The sequence below is a fragment of the Homo sapiens genome, chromosome 22 (assembly GCF_000001405.40).
Source record: "Homo sapiens chromosome 22, GRCh38.p14 Primary Assembly".
NCBI classification, from domain to species: Eukaryota; Metazoa; Chordata; class Mammalia; order Primates; family Hominidae; genus Homo; species Homo sapiens.
In genome coordinates, this window is record NC_000022.11 from 25,920,919 (window position 1) to 25,939,864 (window position 18,946).

The window sequence follows — 18,946 nt, forward strand, 5'->3', positions numbered from 1 at the left end:
TGATGACTTGCGTGCAAGAGATGGGATGACAGAGTGGCTTTGGATCCATACGGGCTATGATAGCAGCAATGATAGTAACTCATATTTCTTGTACATTTATTCTGTGTCAAGCATTAGGCTAGGCATGTATTTAATTTTCACAGCAGCCCAATGTGGTTGGTGCCAATCCCATTTCTCAGTTGAGGAAACTGAGGCTCGGAGAGGAGAATGGTCTTGTCCAAGGTCACACGGTGTGAGTGGCAGAGGCAGGATTTAAACCAGGGAACCTGATTCCGGAAAACTTAGACCCTGGCCACTGCTTTGCCACCTAAGCTCATGGGTCTCCCTTTGGCTTTCAGATTGGCCATCGGGACTTTGATGTGGAGAAGCGACTTCGGAGAGACCTCAGGAGGACACATGCACTGTTGTCAGACGTGCAGCTCCTTCTGGGCACCATGGAGGATGGCAAGACATCAGTCAGCAAGGAGGAGCTGGAGAAAGTGCACAGCCAGGTGGGTGTCACGGGATCCCCTTGAGAATCAGGCTGGGGAGGATGCTACGACCTGCAGAGAATTGCTGTCCCTCCCAGGTATGAGCGGAACCATGGTGCCAACCTCCAACTTTCACAGATGTGCAGGGAGATGGGGGGCATTTCAGGGCTGTGAGGGTCATGTGGAGTGTAGGTGAGGAGGAGGGGTCTAAGAAGGAGTCCTGTTCCCTTTTTCAGAGATGAGGCAGAATTCTTCTGTCTGGAAGGCTTGGGCAGATCAGCACTGGCCAGAATGGCTGAGTGCAGTGTGCCTGTTGTGTGTGTGTGTGTGTGTGTGTGTGTGTGTGTGTGTGTATGTGTATGTGTGTATGCGTGTATGCGTGTGTGTGTGGTGACTGCCAGGACTAGGTATGAGCCAAATAGCAATAGTGTGTGTGTGTGTGTGTGTGTGTGTGTGTGTGTGTGTGTGGTGACTGCCAGGACTAGGTATGAGCCAAATAGCAATAGTGCAATAGTGCCAGTCATGCAAAACCAATGCTTAACAATAGCAACAGTTATACAAACGTTGGCAGTTTGACTGCCTATTAGTATGCTAATGATATTGATCAAGGCATGATGTTGACCACTGGCTGCTACCAGCTGGAGCCCTCACTAGGTACTGGGTCCTCTGTATCTCTGCACATGGTGCTGCATGGTGTTCTCAGGATTGCTGAGTGAGGTGAGATCATCAACTTCATTTCACAAGTGCAGGTGATCGGGTGGCAGAAAGGTACGATGACCCACCCAAAGTCACACAGCTTGAAAGCGGCAGAGCCAGGATTTGAACCCAGGTCTTCAGGCTCTACCATCCTTGGGCCGACTCAAAGGAGGACAGGAGGAGCGGCAGGTCTGAGGGTGGTAGGGAGGTGAGGCCGGAGCAGAGACTGGGGACCTAAGGAGATGTGATGAGTGTGGGCGGTTGCGGTGGCAGACTGTGGCCCAGGGCAGCTAGTGTTGAGAAGTGTGAATGGATCCCACAGGGTGGTGCAAGCCTTGCGGAGAGATGTCCCAAAGCTGAATGATGTAGCAGGAACTCAGGATTTGCTACCGGTCCCCATGGGGAGCTGAAGACACCTGGGGAGGCTCAGAGCTCTGTTGGAAGTGTTGTGTCCATGCAATTGATGTTACCTTCCCTCGGATAAGTCATTCTTGCTAAGCCCAGATGCCTTCGCCACCTGCCTTCTTGGAGGGTTACTGTCCCTTCCTCCAGTCAGAGGCTGAGCTGGGCCTGGGACCCATGTTTCCTGACTCCAAACCCAGTGCCCTTCTCTCTTCCTTCTGGAGACACAGCCCATGATGACCAACAGGTCCCCAGGAAGACAGCAAAAGGCAGCAGACTATAGCGCCAAGGGTTGGAAACAGCGATCCCACAGCTTCGGCTGCTTCCAGTCTCTGGTGTCAGTTTCTATCTGTAAAACAAAACATTTCAGTTAGAGCTTATTCGCTTAACTAGAAGACCTCAACCAAAACAAAACAAAACAAAAACCTAAATTTAGACTTGATTTGAATTTCACCAGTCTCTCCCATTTCCTCTCCCGGGATCCAACCCGGGACCACACTCTGCATTTTGCTGTCATACCTGCCCAGTCTCCTCTGGTCTGGGACAGTTTCTCAGGCTGACCTTGCTTTTTATGACCCTGACAGTTTTGAGGAGCACTGGACAGGTATCCTATGGCATGTCTTCTAATCTGGGTTTGATGGTTTTCTCATGAATAGAGCGAGTTTATGTGCTATTGGAAAGAATATGGCAGAAGCAAACTTGTTAAACCAGAAGACACTGGGAGGGCCCTTCCATCTTGAAAATTCTGCGACTCTTAGCCATCTCCTTTATCAAATCATTCTCTTCTAGGGTGACCCACCATCCTGACTTGTCTGAGACTTTCTTAGTTTTAGCACTGCCAGTCCTGGGTCCTGGGCAAGCCAGGATGGCTGGTCATTCTATCCTCTTCATGGCCATGTCAGGAAGCCAGTATCACCTGTGCTTGAACGCATTGCCCTGCTTAATCCTCATGATACCCCTAGGGGAGGGGAGGTGGCATTGTGCCCATTTTACAGATGAGAAAATGTTGTCCAGAGGTGGCAAGTGGTGTGTCCAAAGTAACACAGCAGGTAAGTGGCAGAGTCGGGGATTTGAATACCAAGTTTGTGATTCTAAGTGCAGAATTGAGAGATGCTTTTGACTCACATTGCGTCTTCCTGTCTGCTTGGCTGACCAGGTGGGTACGGAACCTTGAGGCACCTGGCTTGCTTCTAGGTAGGCAGAGTTGCTGTGTGATTGCCCAGCCAGGGGCCAGGCATTTTGAGTTGAGCAACTCCCTTGGCAGAAGGCCACATACCTGCCCATTTTCCATCAAAATGTCCCCAGTGCCACAGCACCCAAGCTTCCCTTCCCCCAACAGGTGGATGTTTTTGAAAAGAAACCACACAGAGATTTTGTTACTTTTTCTTTTTTTTTTATTAAGTATTCATGAGAATTCTCCCTCTGCAGGGTTAAAATGCATGTTCTTGGGAAAAAGTGGTATTTAATGAAGGCGCTTTGAGCTGAATCAAAGAGCCTCATTCTTCTGAAAGTCCTTCTTCCTAGTCTCTGCATCCGGCTCCTATCAAAGGAAATCCACAGCTTTGGCTTTTCGTTGCTGTTGTCATGGAAATCGTTATAAGGATGGGATCGCGTGGACCAGAGGTCAGGGTACAGTTGCTTTGGCTCCCAGCGCACGTGTCCCAGATGCCAGAGTCAGAGCTAATCAAATAAAGCAGTGATGACATTGGGCATTGCTGCATCTCCTCTCCAATGTACAGTATTTGTCCTTTGCCTGAAGGCTCCAGGGACATAGGTAGGGAAAGCAGACAGGAGGATGAAGGAAGAGGGAGCTAACTTTGCTGCTGGCTGCTACTTAAGTGCTGAGCATGGTGCTGAACAATTTCATTCATTCAATATTTATGCAGTACCTACTGTGTGTCAGGCAGTGTGCTGGATATAAGCACCATGGATAGTGAGACAGCGGTGGTACCCACCGTCATAGAATTTACATCTGATGGAAAAGAAGACAAACAATGATACGAATAAATAGAATCATCCCACACCTTAATTTGAATGAGAAAGGAAATAAATAGGGTGCTAAGATAGAGAACTGCAGGGGCGTCCTGTTTAGCTTGGGTGGTCAGCTAAAATACCCTGGGAGAAGGAGAAATAGGCAGGGACCAGAACATACGGGGCCTGGAAGTTTGGATTTTATCCCGGGGGTGGTGAGAAGCCATTGGGAGGTTGTGAGCGAAGCGTGACAGAATCTGATTCACGTTTTAGAGGATTGTACTTCTGCATGGAGATTGGATTGTGGAGGGTATGAGGGAATATCCTTAGAAGGCTAATGCACCCTTCTAGGCCAGAGGAAATGGTCACCTGGGTTGGGGGAGTATTGATAGAGATGGCAAGAAGGGACAAACTTGGAGCTGATTTGGAATTGATGGGATGTGCAGATGAGGTTTGGTTAGCAACACTTAAGTGTGTTATTTCAGAAAATCCTTGCCATAACCCTAGGAGGTGGATATTCCTATTTTTAACCCATTTTACTAATGAAGAGGCAGTCTCTGAGAGGTTGAGCAATTTACCTAAGGGCACACAGCAATACATGTCCTATACCCTTACAACTTGGTTTGACCAATACGGGTCCTATTAACTTCTATTGTCAGGCACTTACTATGTACCAGACTTTTCCTTAGTGTCTTGGGGTTTCTCAAATTTGGCTGCACATCAGAGAAGTTAAACACCATTTTAAAATCACAGACTTCTGGATTCTGCCCCCTCCCCCACCCCATTTTAAAAAAATCAAGTTTTGGTTGGAATTCAGGATCTGCATTTTTAAACAACCACATGAAGGGGTTCTGGGGGGAACCATAGGCTTTATTTATCCCTCAGAACACCCTTTCGAGTTCAGTGGTAGCATGTATATTTTGCAGATGAGGAAACTGTCACTGAGGTTATATTAGTGTGACAGATCTTATTTCCCCCTATTTTAAAATTAGTTAATTTTTGAGTAGAGAAAACTGGATCCAGCACTTGCTAATTCATGACTTTTGACAAGTGTCCCGACCTCTCTGAGCCCTTTTTCTAAAGCGAAGCATCATCATCATCATCACATGATGGCCCAGGGGCTGAGGAGGGAAAGGCAATGAAGCCTTCAGAAACTTGAGCAGGTGGCTGGGCACAGTGGCTCACACCTGTAATCCCAGCACTTTGGGAGGCTGAGGCGGGTGGATCACCTGGGGTCAGGAGTTTGAGACCAGCCTGGTTAACATGGTGAAACCCTGTCTCTACTAAAAATACAAAAATTAGCCCGGTGTGGTGGTGCATGACTGTAATCCCAGCTACTCAGGAGGCTGAGGCAGGAGAATCACTTGAACCCGGGAGGTAGAGGTTGTGGTGAACTGAGATCGCGCCATTGCACTCCAGCATGGGCAACAGAGCAAGACTCTGTCAAAAAAAAAAAAAAAAAAAAAGGCCAGGTGCGGTGACTCACACCTGTAATCCCAGCACTTTGGGAGGCCGAGGAGGGTGGATCACAAGGTCAGGAGATCGAGACCAAACTGGCTAACATGGTGAAACCCTGTCTCTACTAAAAATATAAAAAATTAGCCAGATGCAGTGACAGGAGCCTGTAGTTCCAGCTACTAGGAAGGCTGAGGCAGGAGAATGGCATGAACCTAGGAGGTGGAGCTTGCAGTGAGCCGAGATTGTGCCACTGCACTCCAGCCTGGACGATGGAGCAAGACTGCGTCTCAAAAAGAAAAGAAAAAAAAAGAAATTAGAACATGTTCTGCGACCTTCACATTCGCTCACTGTGATGACAGAAAACCTAGAGAAAGGTGTTTTTTTTTTTAAGACAGTGTCACTGTGTCATCCAGGCTGGAGTGTAGTGGCCCTATCTCTGGCTCACTGCAAACTCTGCCTCCCAGGTTCAAGTGATTCTCCTGTCTCAGCCTTCCGAGTAGCTGGGATCACAGGCATCCGCCACCATGCCCTGCTAATTTTTGTATTTTTAGTAGAGATGGGGTTTCACCATCTTGGCCAGGTTTTACTGAGTTGGTCTCTAACTCCTGGCCTCAAGTGATCCACCCACCTCAGCCTCCCAAAGTGCTGGGATTACAGGTGTGAGTCACCACACCTGGCCGAAAGTTTTGTTGTATAAAGGACATGTAGGAGGGAATGTGTTCGAATGCACATGTTAGAACTGTGTTCACTCTGCAAATATGGATATGATCTCCACTCTGGGATGAATTTGAGGCCAAGCTACAGGGATAAAGAGGAAATGTCAAGGTCTCTGCCCTTAAGGGGCTCCTAGTCCTAGAAGCAGGCTATAACAAGCAGAGTGATAAACTCTTTTGTTGTGGGAAATCAGGGACCCCAAATGGAGGGACCAGCTGAAGCCATGGCAGAAGAACGTGGATTGTAAAGATTCCATGGACATTTATTAGTTCCCCAAATTAATACTTTTATAATTTCTTATGCCTGTCTTTATTGCAGTCTCTAAACATAAATTGTAAAGATTTCATGGACACTTAACACTTCCCCAGTCAGTACCCTTGTGATTTCCTATGCCTGTCTTTACTTTAATCTCTTAATCCTGTCAGCTGAGGAGGATGTATATCGCCTCAGGACCCTGTAATAATTGCATTAACTGCACAAATTGTACAGCATGTGTGCTTGAGCAATATGAAATGTGGGCACCTTGAAAAAAGAACAGGATAACAGCAATTGTTCAGGGAATAAGAGAGATAACCTTAAACTCTGACTGCCGGTGAGCCGGGCGGAACAGAGCCATATTTCTCTTCTTTCAAAAGCAAATGGGAGAAATATCGCTGAATTCTTTTTCTCAGCATGGAACATCCCTGGGAAAGAGAATACGTGCCTGGAGGTATAGGCTTATAAACAGCCCCCCTAGGTGCGCCTGTCTCTTATGGTCGAGACTGCAGGGGTGAAAGAGACTCCAGTCTCCCATAGCTCTCCCAGGCTTATTAGGAAGAGGAAATTCCCGCCTAATAAATTTTGGTCAGACCGGTTGATCTCAAAACCCTGTCTCCTGATAAGATGTTATCAATGACAATGGTGCCTGAAACTTCATTAGCAATTTTAATTTCGCCTCGGTCCTGTGGTCCTGTGATCTTGCCCTGCCTCCACTTGCCTTGTTGTATTCTATTACCTTGTAAAGTACTTGACATCTGTGACCCACACCTATTCGCGTACTCCCTCCCCTTTTGAAACTCCCTAATAAAAACTTGCTGGTTTTTGTGGCTTGTGGGGCATCACGGAACCTACCGACGTGTGATGTCTCCCCCGGACACCCAGCTTTTAAAATTTCTCTCTTTTGTACTCTGTCCCTTTATTTCTCAAGCTGGCTGACTCTTAAGGAAAATAGAAAAGAACCTACGTGAATATCGGGGCAGATTCCCCGATACTCTTTATTGGAGGACTATTTGGATTAGCTAAAGAGGAGGCCCTTAATTTTGCTTTGAGAGAGGAGCTGGTAGCTTTGGTTATCTCTTTAAAGATGGAAATGAATTGCTGGTTAGATAAGGTACATGTATGTAGACATTCTAGGAGGAAACACCAGTGCGTAAAAGGGCAGAGGCACACAGAGACAGAAAGCATATTCAGTTCGGCATGGTATTGCTGGAGTATAAGGTATCCAGGGGTTAAAAGGGCAGAGAGGATAGTGCTGGTAATGGAGGCTGGAGCCAGTTCATGAATGGTTTAGTGAGCTTGGCTGAGGAGCTTCAGTTTTATCCCAAAGCCACAGGGAGCCATAGAAAGCTACTGAGCAGAGGAAGGTGTGGCCAGAACGGCTTGTAAAAATTGGCAGGATTCCAGGTGCAATGTCTCACACCTGTAATCCTAGCACTTTGGGAGACAGAGGGAGGTCTTTTTCTCTGAGCCCAGGAGTTTGAGACCAGCCTGGGCAACATAGTAAGACCCGGCCTCAAAAAAAAAAAAAAAAAAAAAAGGCAAGTCCCCAGCTAAATCACAGGAGCCCTGATGTGCAGAATATCAGGCTCTACCAGCAGCAACAGTTTCCCTTAGCTACAGCATCTTCTCTCCAGATGGGCAGGCACCCCCTCTGTTCATTGCCCCTGCATCTAGAACCCTAAGATAATCATTTGGTTCTTTTCTCCCAGTTTCCCTCCACTGGGAGCTTTGGATACATCTCAGTGAACACCTGAGGCTTAAAACCCTCCTGATACAATACAGAAGACTCCTGAAAGCCATATATAGGATTCAAATCCTGCCAATGACACTTACCTTGCTGCAGATCTTGGGCAAGTCAGCTGCCTTGCATAGAGTCTTTCTTGCCTAATAAGGGGGTACGATAATCTCAGCTGATTGGGCTGATATAAAGAACACTGGACCATGGATTTGAAAGGAGTCATTAAATTGAAAACCCTAAGACAGTGATCTCCTGGCCAGGCATGGTGGCTCATGCCTGTAATCCCAGCACTTTGGGAGGCCAAGGCGGGCGGGTCACCTGAGGTCAGGAGTTCAAGACCAGCCTGACCAAAATGGAGAAACCCCTTCTCTACTAAAAATACAAAAATTAGCTGGGCATGATGGCGCATGCCTGTAATCCCAGCTACTCAGGAGGCTGAGGCAGGAGAATCGCTTGAACCTGGGAGGCAGAGGTTGTGGTGAGCCAAGATCACACCATTACACTCCAGCCTGGGCAACAAGAGCGAAACTGTCTCAAAAAAAAAAAAAAAAAGACAGTGATCTCAAAATATAACATAACATCCCCAATTGGCTCTCTCCTTTCATTCACCGGTGTCAGCTATTGGAAGATTTTAGTTTCTGAGCACATGATTTTATAAGACCTCTTGGAACAGGTAGGCAGACAAGGTGTGGGGTTGATCTAATGACACCTGTTTTTTTTCAGAGCTGATTTCTAATTAATTCTCATGGAATGTTTCCACTGGAAACAAACTAATCTGGAGACAGAAGCAGTTCCAACAACCAAGATATATAATTGAGATAATCGCTGTGCACAAATAACATCTGTGAGCAGCAGATGCTAACACCTGGCTCCAAGGAGAAAGTCGGAGATGATGTCTGCTCCAGGGCAGCAGTTGCTTTTTCTCTCCCCCTATTTGATTCATGCTTCTGACCTTTGTCTCTTCCACAGAGGCAATATGTTACTTGCTTTCTGTTAGATAGAGAAGGATTTGCACTGAACTCTTTAGTCGTTTACTTAATTCATGCTGGGGGCTGTATTCACCTCTTCCTTCTGAGAACAAAGCTGCCACCAAGTCATTGTACCCTCTAAATAGCTCTGAAATGCATCCCCCGTCTCTCTCTGCTTGTATTACAGTCCACCTGAATATCTAGTACTTGGATTTCTCTCAAGTTGGCTGGCCTCTGGTCTTGTCTGAGCAATCTTTGTACCGTCTGATCTTTGGAGAGAGAATTTTAAAATTTAAACGCAAAGTCGGTTCTTTGTGTGTTCAAGATCCATTGGTAGTTTCACATTGCCTTCAGCCTAAAGTCCAGGTTTCTTCCCTTGACCTACACGGATGCATATTTTGGCACCTACCCTCCTGTCACCCCTCACCCGAAGCTTAGGATGGCTTGGTGTCCTCTGCACCTGCCCTCACCTCTTCACCTTTGCCCAAGCAATGCCCTTGGCTGGGTTCTTGCTTCTTTCACTGATCCCTCTTTGCCTGATAAGCATCTAAGCATTCTGTGAAATTGACTTTGGGTGTCCTCTCTTGGAGCCCTCTTGGTCCTCCATGGGCTGGGTGAGGGTGCCGCCTCTCCTTCCCCACAATCTGTTGGGCCTGCCCCTGAGTTAGTACTTGTCACTCCCTGTAATTATTCCTTTGTTTCCATCGTTTTTTTTCTAAACCCTTAAAGGCAGGGACTGGGGTGAGTAAACATAGTAAAAGACTTAGCCAAAGTCACAAAGGTAATTAATAAAAATCCCAGCCTGGGTTTGAACTGAAGGAATCCGACTCAGGTACCTGGGAATTTAACCTCTCCCCGCCATGCCACCAATGCCTCCTGTTGGTCCTCTGCTGTCTCGGGGCTATTACATCCTTTTTAATTTTTTTTTTTATTTTGAGGCAAGGTCTTGCCCTGTCATCCAGGCTGGAGTGCAGTGGTGCAATCGCGGTTTACTACAGCCTCAACCTCAAGCAGAATACAGGCATGCACCACCACACCTGGCTAATTGTTCTGTATTTTTGCTAGAGACAAAGTTTCTCTGTGTCGCCCAGGCTGGTCTTGAACTCCTGGGCTCAAGTGATCCACCCGCCTTGGCGTCCCAAAGTGCAGGGACTACAGGCCACATCTTCCCTGGACACCCTGAGTGCTCCTGTAGGTCCTTCCACTTGGGAATTCTGGGTCAGCTCCGGTGTTTACTCAGGTGGAGCCACAAAGCCTTGTGCGACTTATACACTGTGAGCTCCCAGCAGTGGTTTGTTAATAGCCCGAGGCTCTCTGTTAGTGCTTAGAAGACTAATAACCCTGGATTCATGCTCAGTGCCCTTAATTGGGACATTTATCACCGTGTGTCATCCATGCTTCCATGAGACATTGGAAATAGTTAGTAAGCACTGGGAAGATGACCCTGATGGGAGTCTTTTGTGTGTGGGCACCTGGGGAACATTTTTCCCCAGCCAGGAACTATGGAACAGGTGGCTTCCTGCGATGTTTTATTTGAAGAGCCTTTTTTAAAACGATTATGTTGGAGTGAATTTATTCAATGTTAACATAACCTCCTGTCGGAGAAGATAAAGACAGAATTGTAATTGGTTAAAAACATGGTTATCACAGGCCTGTTCACCCCACAAATGTTGACACATTCAATGCTATGATGAATGAAGTGGGAAGAGGCTGGTTTCATTATAGGCAAGAAGGCGGGGACATCTCCCCAAAAGGACCTGTTACCATTTAGTCATGGAGGGGCCTGTCAAGGTCGTGATAACTATTCTACAGCAACGATATTGACGGGGAACATTGATTCTTTACACTGTGCTAGTCATGGTGCCAAATATATCAACGTCATGACCTGATTATATCCCCCAAACCCACTTGAGTGCAGTGAATTCTGCAATGGCAGGAGCCTTTTCTGTTTTGAACCAGTGTGTGGGAGTGTGACTGTATACAGCAAGTGCTCAGTGAATGAGTGGGGAGAGACCGGACAGGTGGTGGCCAGACTCCAGAGGAGAGGAGACAGCTAGTATTATGCCTTTTCTTTTTTTTTCTTTTTTCTTTTTTTTTTTTTTTTTTTGAGACAGGGTCTTGCTCTGTCACCAAGGCTAGAGTGCAGTGGCTCAATCATGGCTCACTGCAGCCTCAACATTTCAGGCTCAAGCAATCCTCCCACCTCAGCCTCCCAAGTAGCTGGCATGTGCCACCATGCCCTGCTAATTTTTTTTTTTTTTTGGTAGAGATGAAGTTTCACCATCATGTCCAGCTAATTTTTGTTGTTGTTTGTTTGTTTTTTTGTAGAGATGAGGTTTCACCATGTTGCCCAGGCTGGTCTGAAACTCCTGGGCTCAAGCGATCCTCCAGCCTCAACCTCCCAAAGTGCTGGGATTACAGGCTTGAGCCAACACGCCCAGCCTATGCCCATTTTATACAGGAGGAGGCTCTGCGTAGAGGCAAATTGCTCAAAGTCACAGAGATGGATGGAACTGAGATTTAAGAAAATATATTTTGAAAGAATTTAAAACTTACAGAGAAGTTGCAAGAATAGTTCAAAGGGCTTATTTAAGTTTTTCACCCAGATTCATCAACTTTTAATATTTTTCCACATTTGCGATCTGGTTCTCTCTATAAATTTTCTGAATTATCTAAAAGCAAGTTAAAGACATGGTGCCCCTGTATCCTAATCAAAATCACAAAATTTAATATTGATAAAAATCCTTCCTTCCTTCTTTCTTCCCTTTCTTTCTTTCCTTCTTTCTCTTTTCTTTTCTTTTCTTTTTTCTTTTCTTTCTTTTTTTTTTCTTTGAGACACAGTTTTGCTCTTGTCGCCCAGGCTGGAGTGCAGTGGCATGATCTCAGCTCACCACAATCTCTGCCTCCTGGGTTCAAGCGATTCCGCTGTCTCAGCCTCCCAAGTAGCTGGGATTATAGGCATGCGTCACCATGCCCGGCTAATTTTTTGTATTTTTAGTAGAGACGGGATTTCTCCACGTTGGTCAGGCTGGTCTCAAACTCCCGACCTCAGGTGATCTGTCCACCTCGGCCTCCCAAAGTGCTGGGATTACAGGTGTGAGCCACTGCGCCCTGCCTAAAAATATTTTCTAATCCAGGAGTTGGCAAACTAGGGCCCAAAAGCCAAGTCCAGCCAACTGCATGTTTCTTTGTGGTTTTTGTTTGTTTATTTTATTATAGCTGGTGAGCAAAGAATTTTTTTTTTTGTTTTTAAATGGTTACATTTAAGGTGGTTATGTAAGTACCCACATATATACTTGATTTTGCCTCTTGACCTGCCAAGCCTAAAATAATTATTATCTGACCCCTGATTTTATCTGCTGTCTTTTTAAATTTTGCCAATTACCCCCCAGTGTCCGTTATAGCAATTTATCTCCCAATTTAGGATCCAACTTGGAAAGTAAAACTGCTTCCATTATTTTCATGGTGTCATAGTTCCTCAGTCTGTCTTTTTTTATGATACTGACATTTTTTGGAGAGTTCAGGCCAGTTGCATTGTAGAATGTTCCTCAATTTTGGGTGAACTGGAATGTGAACCCCTATTTCTTTCCAATTTCAGAGCCATTTTTATTTATGCAGGTCTGAGATTCCCAGGACAAAGGACTTTTAAAACCAGAAAGTCCCAGACCAAAAGGGATGAGCTTGTCATCCTAGCACCAGTGTCTCAAGCACTGAGTAATCCTGGGGAAGATAAAATCTCCTTACCCTGGCCCCACCCTCCACCTGGCCTTTGCAGTAAAGCCAGTTCTCAAAAGCCAACTGGTGGTTTTAGCAGAAAGGGTGATGAACCAAATGCCAGTGTGAGAACCTGTCCCCTTCCACACAGGCCTTTTGTCTTCTGTCTTCCCATGTTTCTCGTTAGAGAAATTCTCACCATCCACATGTGCTGGCCTTGTATCTTGCCTTTTTTCCCTCTATTTATGCATGTGAGCTATATTGATATTATTGCGTGTGTTTTAGGCAATTAAAGTAATGGCAAAAAGTAATGGCATTAAATTAATGGCAAAAACTGCAGTTACTTTTGCACCAACCTAATAATTGGTTTATTGTTGTTGCGGTTGTATGTGACTACCACAATTTATCTTATCCATGTTGCTGTTTATGGATATGTGGGTTTTGTCTAGGTTTTGGTTATGAATAGAGCCAGTATGAACATTTTTTTGCACATTATTTTATGGGAGGGGAGCAAATGTATGCATTTCTGTAGGGTGCATAACTAGAAGTGTGGTATCTCTGGGTCATAGTACACATGGTTTTTGTCTTTAGCAGATACTACAAAATAAATTTCCAAGGTACCTGTAGACATTTACATTCCCATCAACAGAACATGAAAGTCCTACTGGCTTCCTGTCATGGCTGGCAGTTGGTATTATTATCAGTTGTTGGCATTTTAGCCATTCCGAGGGAAGGAGAATATTTTTTATTCTATTTTGCACTTCTCTGATGTTCACCTTTTCAAAGTATATCATCCATTTCGATATTTATTTTTACCTGTCCAAGGCATATGCTTATTTTTCTGTTGGGTTGTTTGTATTTTTCTTAGTGATTTGTGGGATACTTTGATAGAAGCTCTTTGCTACATATGTCTATTGCCATTATTTTCTCTCACTTTAGGGTTGACCATTACATTTTCTTGGTGGTGTCTTTTTATGAAGAGAAATTCTTGATTTTGATGTAATCTAATGGGTCAGTGTTAAACATCTTAGAATCCAAATTTTAAATCAGTTGGTCAGGCAGAGGGTGTTCTGTTTAGCTGGATATTCTGGTGAGTTGGGAGTGGTGCAGGATGATGGAAAGTCTACCTCCATGGCCAAGACTCTGTGAACCCCCAGAATTTGAGGCAGGTCTCAGTTAATTTAGAAAGTTTATTTCTCCAAGGTTGAGGACGTGCGCCTGTGACAGCCTCAGGAAGTCCTGACGAAGTGCCCAAGGTGGTCGGGGCACAGCTTGGTTTTATACATTTTAGGGAGACATGAGACATCAATCAATATGTGTAAGAAGTACAGTGGTTTTGTCCAGAAAGGCAGGGACGGCTCAAAGCTGGGAGGGGGCTTCCAGGTCACAGGTAGGTGAGAGAAAAATGGTTGCATTCTTTTGAGTTTCTGATAAGCCTTTCCAAAGGAGGCAGTCAGAATATGCATCTATCTCAGTGAGCAGAGGGATGACTTTGAATAGAATGAGGGCAGATTTGCCCTGAGCAGTTCCCAGCTTGAATTTTCTGTCTAGCTTAGTGATTCGGGGGCTCAAGATATTTTCCTTTCACTACTCGTGGTTCCGTCCCTCAGTGCTCAATCAGTTTCTGCTAGGATTTGAATTACGCTGGTGGTTTCCAGGCTCGTGTGGGTGTGTGCACACACGCGGTGTGTTTTCTTTTTAGCAAAATAATCCACTTATTAAAGAGAAATCTCATTAAAATGCCCTCTGCCCTGACCATTAATAGTGTAACTGAAAATTGGGTTAGTTGCTGGCCACCGCATGTAGAGTCCAATTAACAAGAACCAGGCCTGGTACAGGAAAAGTGAGTTCATTTCTGAAGCTAGCTTGGGAGAAGGGCACAAAACATCCTACTTTAAATGTGCCGCTTTGCCTTTGGAGCAAAAAGCAGACACTTCCATAAGGTCAGGAGGAGAGTGAGCAAGGGAGGGGGGTCTCCCTGCTACCAGGTAGTTACCTAGTGGGCAGTTGAGTTGGCACCTTTCTGGGCAAGAGTAAGTTGTAAAAGTGGCCGAGTGGTCATGCCTTAGGCATGCCCTCCTGAGGCAACCCCCTGGAGGGGGTACTTTCCTGGGGACATGCTTTGATTTCCAAATCAATTGTCTGCTCTGGAGGAGAAATTCATCTTGGAGCACATAGATGAACTTGCTCTATAGGAAACATTGGGTGAGGGGGAGGTGAGAGGTTATTTTGCATTTCAAAAAGGGCTAAGTAGGAAGTAGAGGGAAAGGGGAAAGGAGAAAAGAAGAGAAAAAAAAAAACCCTGTGTCTTAGAAAAATGGGGGTACTTGGTTATAATTGGGCTTCCCTTGTTTCTCCCAGAGTACCCTCCTTCTGGCTCTGAAGAAAGGTACCAGCTCGGGTATGTGGGGTCTGGTGAATAAGGCTGTGGTCACCCTCCCTGTCCAGGTCATTTCCTCCTACAGAGGGGGATCCTGCCCACAGGTCCCACCCCTTGTCCTTCCTGTGGACACTGTGGGTATCTGGGTTAGAGACCTATGCATGGAGGATGGGGGAGCACTCCTGGTTGCGGGCTTCTTCCCAAGGATGCATGCAGTGCAGACAGGCTACAGAGTCAGGCAGTCCTGGCTCACCCTGCGGGTTCACTGATGCTGCTGAGCTCACGTGTCTGCCTCAGTCTCTCAGTACACGACATGTGTCGAGTTCATACTATGTCAGGACCCAGAGTTGAACAAGAGCCAGGTGACCCTCCAGGAGCCCAGTGTCCAGTGGGGAGACAGACGTGGAGGCACAAGACCTGGTGCTGTTTAGGGGAGCAAAGGGGTGCTGGAATATAATAAAAGAGGGATGTAAATGAGACGGGGATCGGGGAGGGCCTTTTTTGGATGTTTTATCCTGCTTTTCTATTTTTCTTTCTCTCTTTGGAGCATCAGTGTGATCCAGATTCATCATCACCAGAGAGGAAGTCAGGATAGAAGCTTTTGAAGTCTGTTCAGTGGTGGAGGATTCAAGCAGTCCTTAGATCCTAAAATACAAAAAATTAGGAGGACTCTTGAACCCTCAAAGAAATAGACTTAAGACAAGTGAAAGGAGGCCTGCTTTACTCAGCAGGTGGTGAACATATTCCACAGGACTTACAGGAAAAAGCTGTGGACTTAAAAGAGACCTCGGTTCAGATTCTGCCACCTTCACTATTAGCTGTGTGACATTGATGAGTTAACTAACCTGTCTGTGCCTCAGTTTCCTCATCTGAAACTGAAAACAGCTACTTCCTAGAAATGTTACATGTTATAAATTAACATGTCTTAATCAGCTCAGGCTGCCATAAAAAAATACCGTAAATTAAACTAGGTAGCTTCAGTAACAGACATTTATTTATTATAGTTCTGGAGGCTGGAAGTCTGAGATCAGGGTACCAGCATGCCTGGGTTCTGCTGTGGGCTCTCTTCCTGGCCTACAGACAGACAAATGCCTTCTCTCTGTGTCCTCACATGGTAGAGAGGAAGGAACTTTTTGGTGTTTCTTCTTCTAAGGGCACGAATCTCATCATGGAGGCCCCACCCTCATGACCTGATCTAAACCTTATTACCTCCCCAAAGCCTCATCTCCTAATACCATCACATTAGGGGGTGGCTTCAACATACACATTTCTAGGGGACAGAATTCTGTCTCTGGCAATGTGGTAAACACTTGATACTAAGTAGTTGTGATTATCCTACTACTAATAATAATATTTATTATTACTTTGAAGAAGATAGAAAAATAAATATTCAGGAAGATTTTTTTTTTTGAGACAGAATCTTGCTCTGTCACCCAGGCGGGAGTGCAGTGAGTGGCGTGATCTTGGCTCACTGCAGCCTCTGCTTCCTGGGTTCAAGCAGTTCTCCCATCTCAGCCTCCCGAATAGCTGGGATTAATGGGTGTGCACCACCATGCCCGGCTAACTTTTGTATTTTTTGTAGAGGTGGGTCTTACCATGTTGCCCAGGCTGATCTCAAACTCTTGGCCTCAACCGATTCGTTTGCCTCGGCCTCCCAAAGATCTGGGATTACAGCTGTAAGCCACCATGCCCAGCAGGGAAGTGTTTTGATACATTGATAAGTGATGGTCTGGAGCAGAATGTCATGAAAATTATGGAATATTCAATATATACCCAAATAGTTTAAGTTAAAAGGCACCAAGAGTAGCCACCACACTGTCTTAAGATATTCTCCCCCATGGCCACTGTCATCAGACTTCTGGGCTGCACAGACCATTGGTGGACCTGGCCTGACATTCTTTTTTTTTTTTTTTTTGAGATGGAGTTTCACTCTTGTTGCCCAGGCTGGAGTGCAATGGCGCCATCTCAGCTCACCACAACCTCTGCCTCCCAGGTTCAAGCGATTCTCCTGCCTCAGCCTCCCGAGTAGCTGGGATTACAGGCATGCACCACCGCGCCTGGCTGATTTTGTATTTTTAGTAGAGATGGGGTTTCTCCATGTTGGTCAGGTTGGTCTTGAACTCCTGACCTCAGGTGATCTGCATGCCTCGGCCTTCCAAAATGCTGGGATTACAGGTGTGAGCCACCGCTCCCGGCCGACATTCTTAATATGTTTGCATTTAACAATTTTGTTTGATGTTAGGGCTGTCTCTAGTTTGATCTGTGGGTGATTCCCTTCAGGGAAAGCCTTAATGTTGAAGGTTGGTTCTTTCAAGTACCCTGATGGGATGTCAAGGCCTGGGATGTGTTGAGAATAGCCTTCCAAAGACACCATTTCTTAACCAGAATGCTTTCCCTGTGGTGTTTGTGATGCACTATTTTTAAATCCCCTCAGTTGTTCAACCAGACCCAGAAATCCAGGTTCTAACCATTCTGCCCAAAGACTGGAATTTTTCCTCTCCACACCTCATTCCATATGTCTAGTCAACTCATCTAGTAGCTTAACAAATCCTAGCAAACATTTCACCTAGGTATTTAAAGCAGGCAGATGGCTTCGCATAGAGAAGTAATGCTATTCAACAGTTTGTAGTTGATGTATATGTGATAGGAATCTCAATTGGCCTCACACTGAATGAAACAGAGGTGGGTGAGGGGAGAGAATGCCTAGATTTAGCTCAGGAACAGAGACTAGTGTGTAGAGGAGTCTTTGGGGTGGCCCAGGAAGGGCATGGGTTTGGAGTCTCAACCACTAGCACACAAGTCTGACCTTGGGCAAATCACTTCTTCCTGGGCTGCAGTTTTCTCATTTGTGAAATAATGAAGGCTGACTGCTTCCTTGCAGGGCTGTTGTGGGCTATAGTGATAATGAATTTTAAGTGGCCACGCAGTGCGTAATGTAGTGAGTGTTGAAGAAATCTCCTTCCCTCTTTCCCCCTCGATGAGTAATCGGGAAAGGGAAATATTGATCCTCCTATGGGTAAGGATCCATACACAGAACAGGTAAACAGTAAATAATTGTTACTCTGTCACAGGGTTTTGGGTGGAACCACTTTGATCCAACTTTTTTGGTAGATTAGCATCAATTAACACTATGGAAGTGTTTGGTTTTGCTTTTTTAAGAGATGGGATTGCCCAAGCTGGAGTGCAGTGGTGTGATCATAGCTCACAGCAGCCTTTCATTCCTGGGCTCAAGGAATCTTCCTGTCTCACCCTCCTGGGTAGCTGGGACTACAGGCGCTCCACCATGCCCAGCTAATTTTTTGCTCTTTATAGAGATGAGGTCTAGCTATGGTGCCTAGGCTGGTCTGGAACTCGTGGCCTCAAGTGATGCTCCCACCTCGGCCTCACAACATGCTAGGATTACAGGCATAAGCCACCATGCCTGACAGATAGCAATGTCTTTTGAGTGTTTATTCTGTGGCTAACATCATGTATGCATTACCTCCTTTAATTCACTCATTTGTATCTGGGTTTTGGGTGGTAACCCAGTTCAAATTGGCTTGCATAGAAAAAGGGAAGTTATTGGCCAAAATATCTGAAAAGTTCTGAGGCTAGGACTGCCTTCAGGTTTGGCTAGATCTAGGTACCCCAATCATGTCATCAAGATTATGTCTCTGCCACCTCTTAGGTCAGCTTTAAGATACAACAGCAGCTTATATCTTAAGCATGTTCCATCTTGTATTCTTAGGCAGACTCTTCGATCTTGCCCAGACTTTCCAAGCTTTTATCCTGCTTCAGAAAGAGTGAACTTTATTTTCATAGTCTCAGCAAAAATCTTGGTGTCAACCATGTCGTTATTACAGAACCAACCACTGTGGCCAACAGGAGGCGATGCTCTGATTGGGTAGGCTGGGTCATGTGCCCCTCTTTGAGCTTGGGGAGCAGGATCTGCACCATCAAAGCACATGGATGTTTGGAGATGGATATTTATCACAGGGAAGATGGGGTCCTTCTCTCAAAAGAATGGGAAGTGGATGCTGGGCATGTACCATACCACATTTTTTGTACAGAGCGTCTGTAGTGGGCACTATTGTTTCCAAGGGAGAGCAAGGTAATGGCTCAGAGTGGGAACTTCATGACCAGACTACCTGGGTTCATATCCCAGCTCTGCCATTTAGTACTTGAATGACCATCAGTA

At 45.7% G+C, this 18,946-nt stretch overlaps 1 protein-coding gene across 14 annotated transcripts in view, besides 1 other annotated feature; it reads left to right on the forward strand.

Moving 5' to 3' along the window:
- Window positions 1–18,946, forward strand: part of MYO18B (myosin XVIIIB) — a 321,660-nt gene that overhangs the window by 178,731 nt on the left and 123,983 nt on the right. For all 14 annotated transcript variants that reach the window (XM_011530461.3, XM_011530458.3, XM_017029014.2 and 11 more), the window contains one exon: window positions 339–491. In XM_011530461.3, the coding sequence (XP_011528763.1) occupies window positions 339–491 (153 nt within the window). The remainder of the gene's footprint in view (window positions 1–338; window positions 492–18,946) is intronic.
- Window positions 14,289–14,912: an enhancer, noted in NCBI's record as "NANOG-H3K27ac-H3K4me1 hESC enhancer chr22:26331174-26331797 (GRCh37/hg19 assembly coordinates)". NCBI's record gives its function as "activates a minimal SCP1, AML or CMV promoter by ChIP-STARR-seq in naive H9 embryonic stem cells {active_cell/tissue: H9 hESC(naive)}" and the evidence as "EXISTENCE:reporter gene assay evidence [ECO:0000049][PMID:30033119]".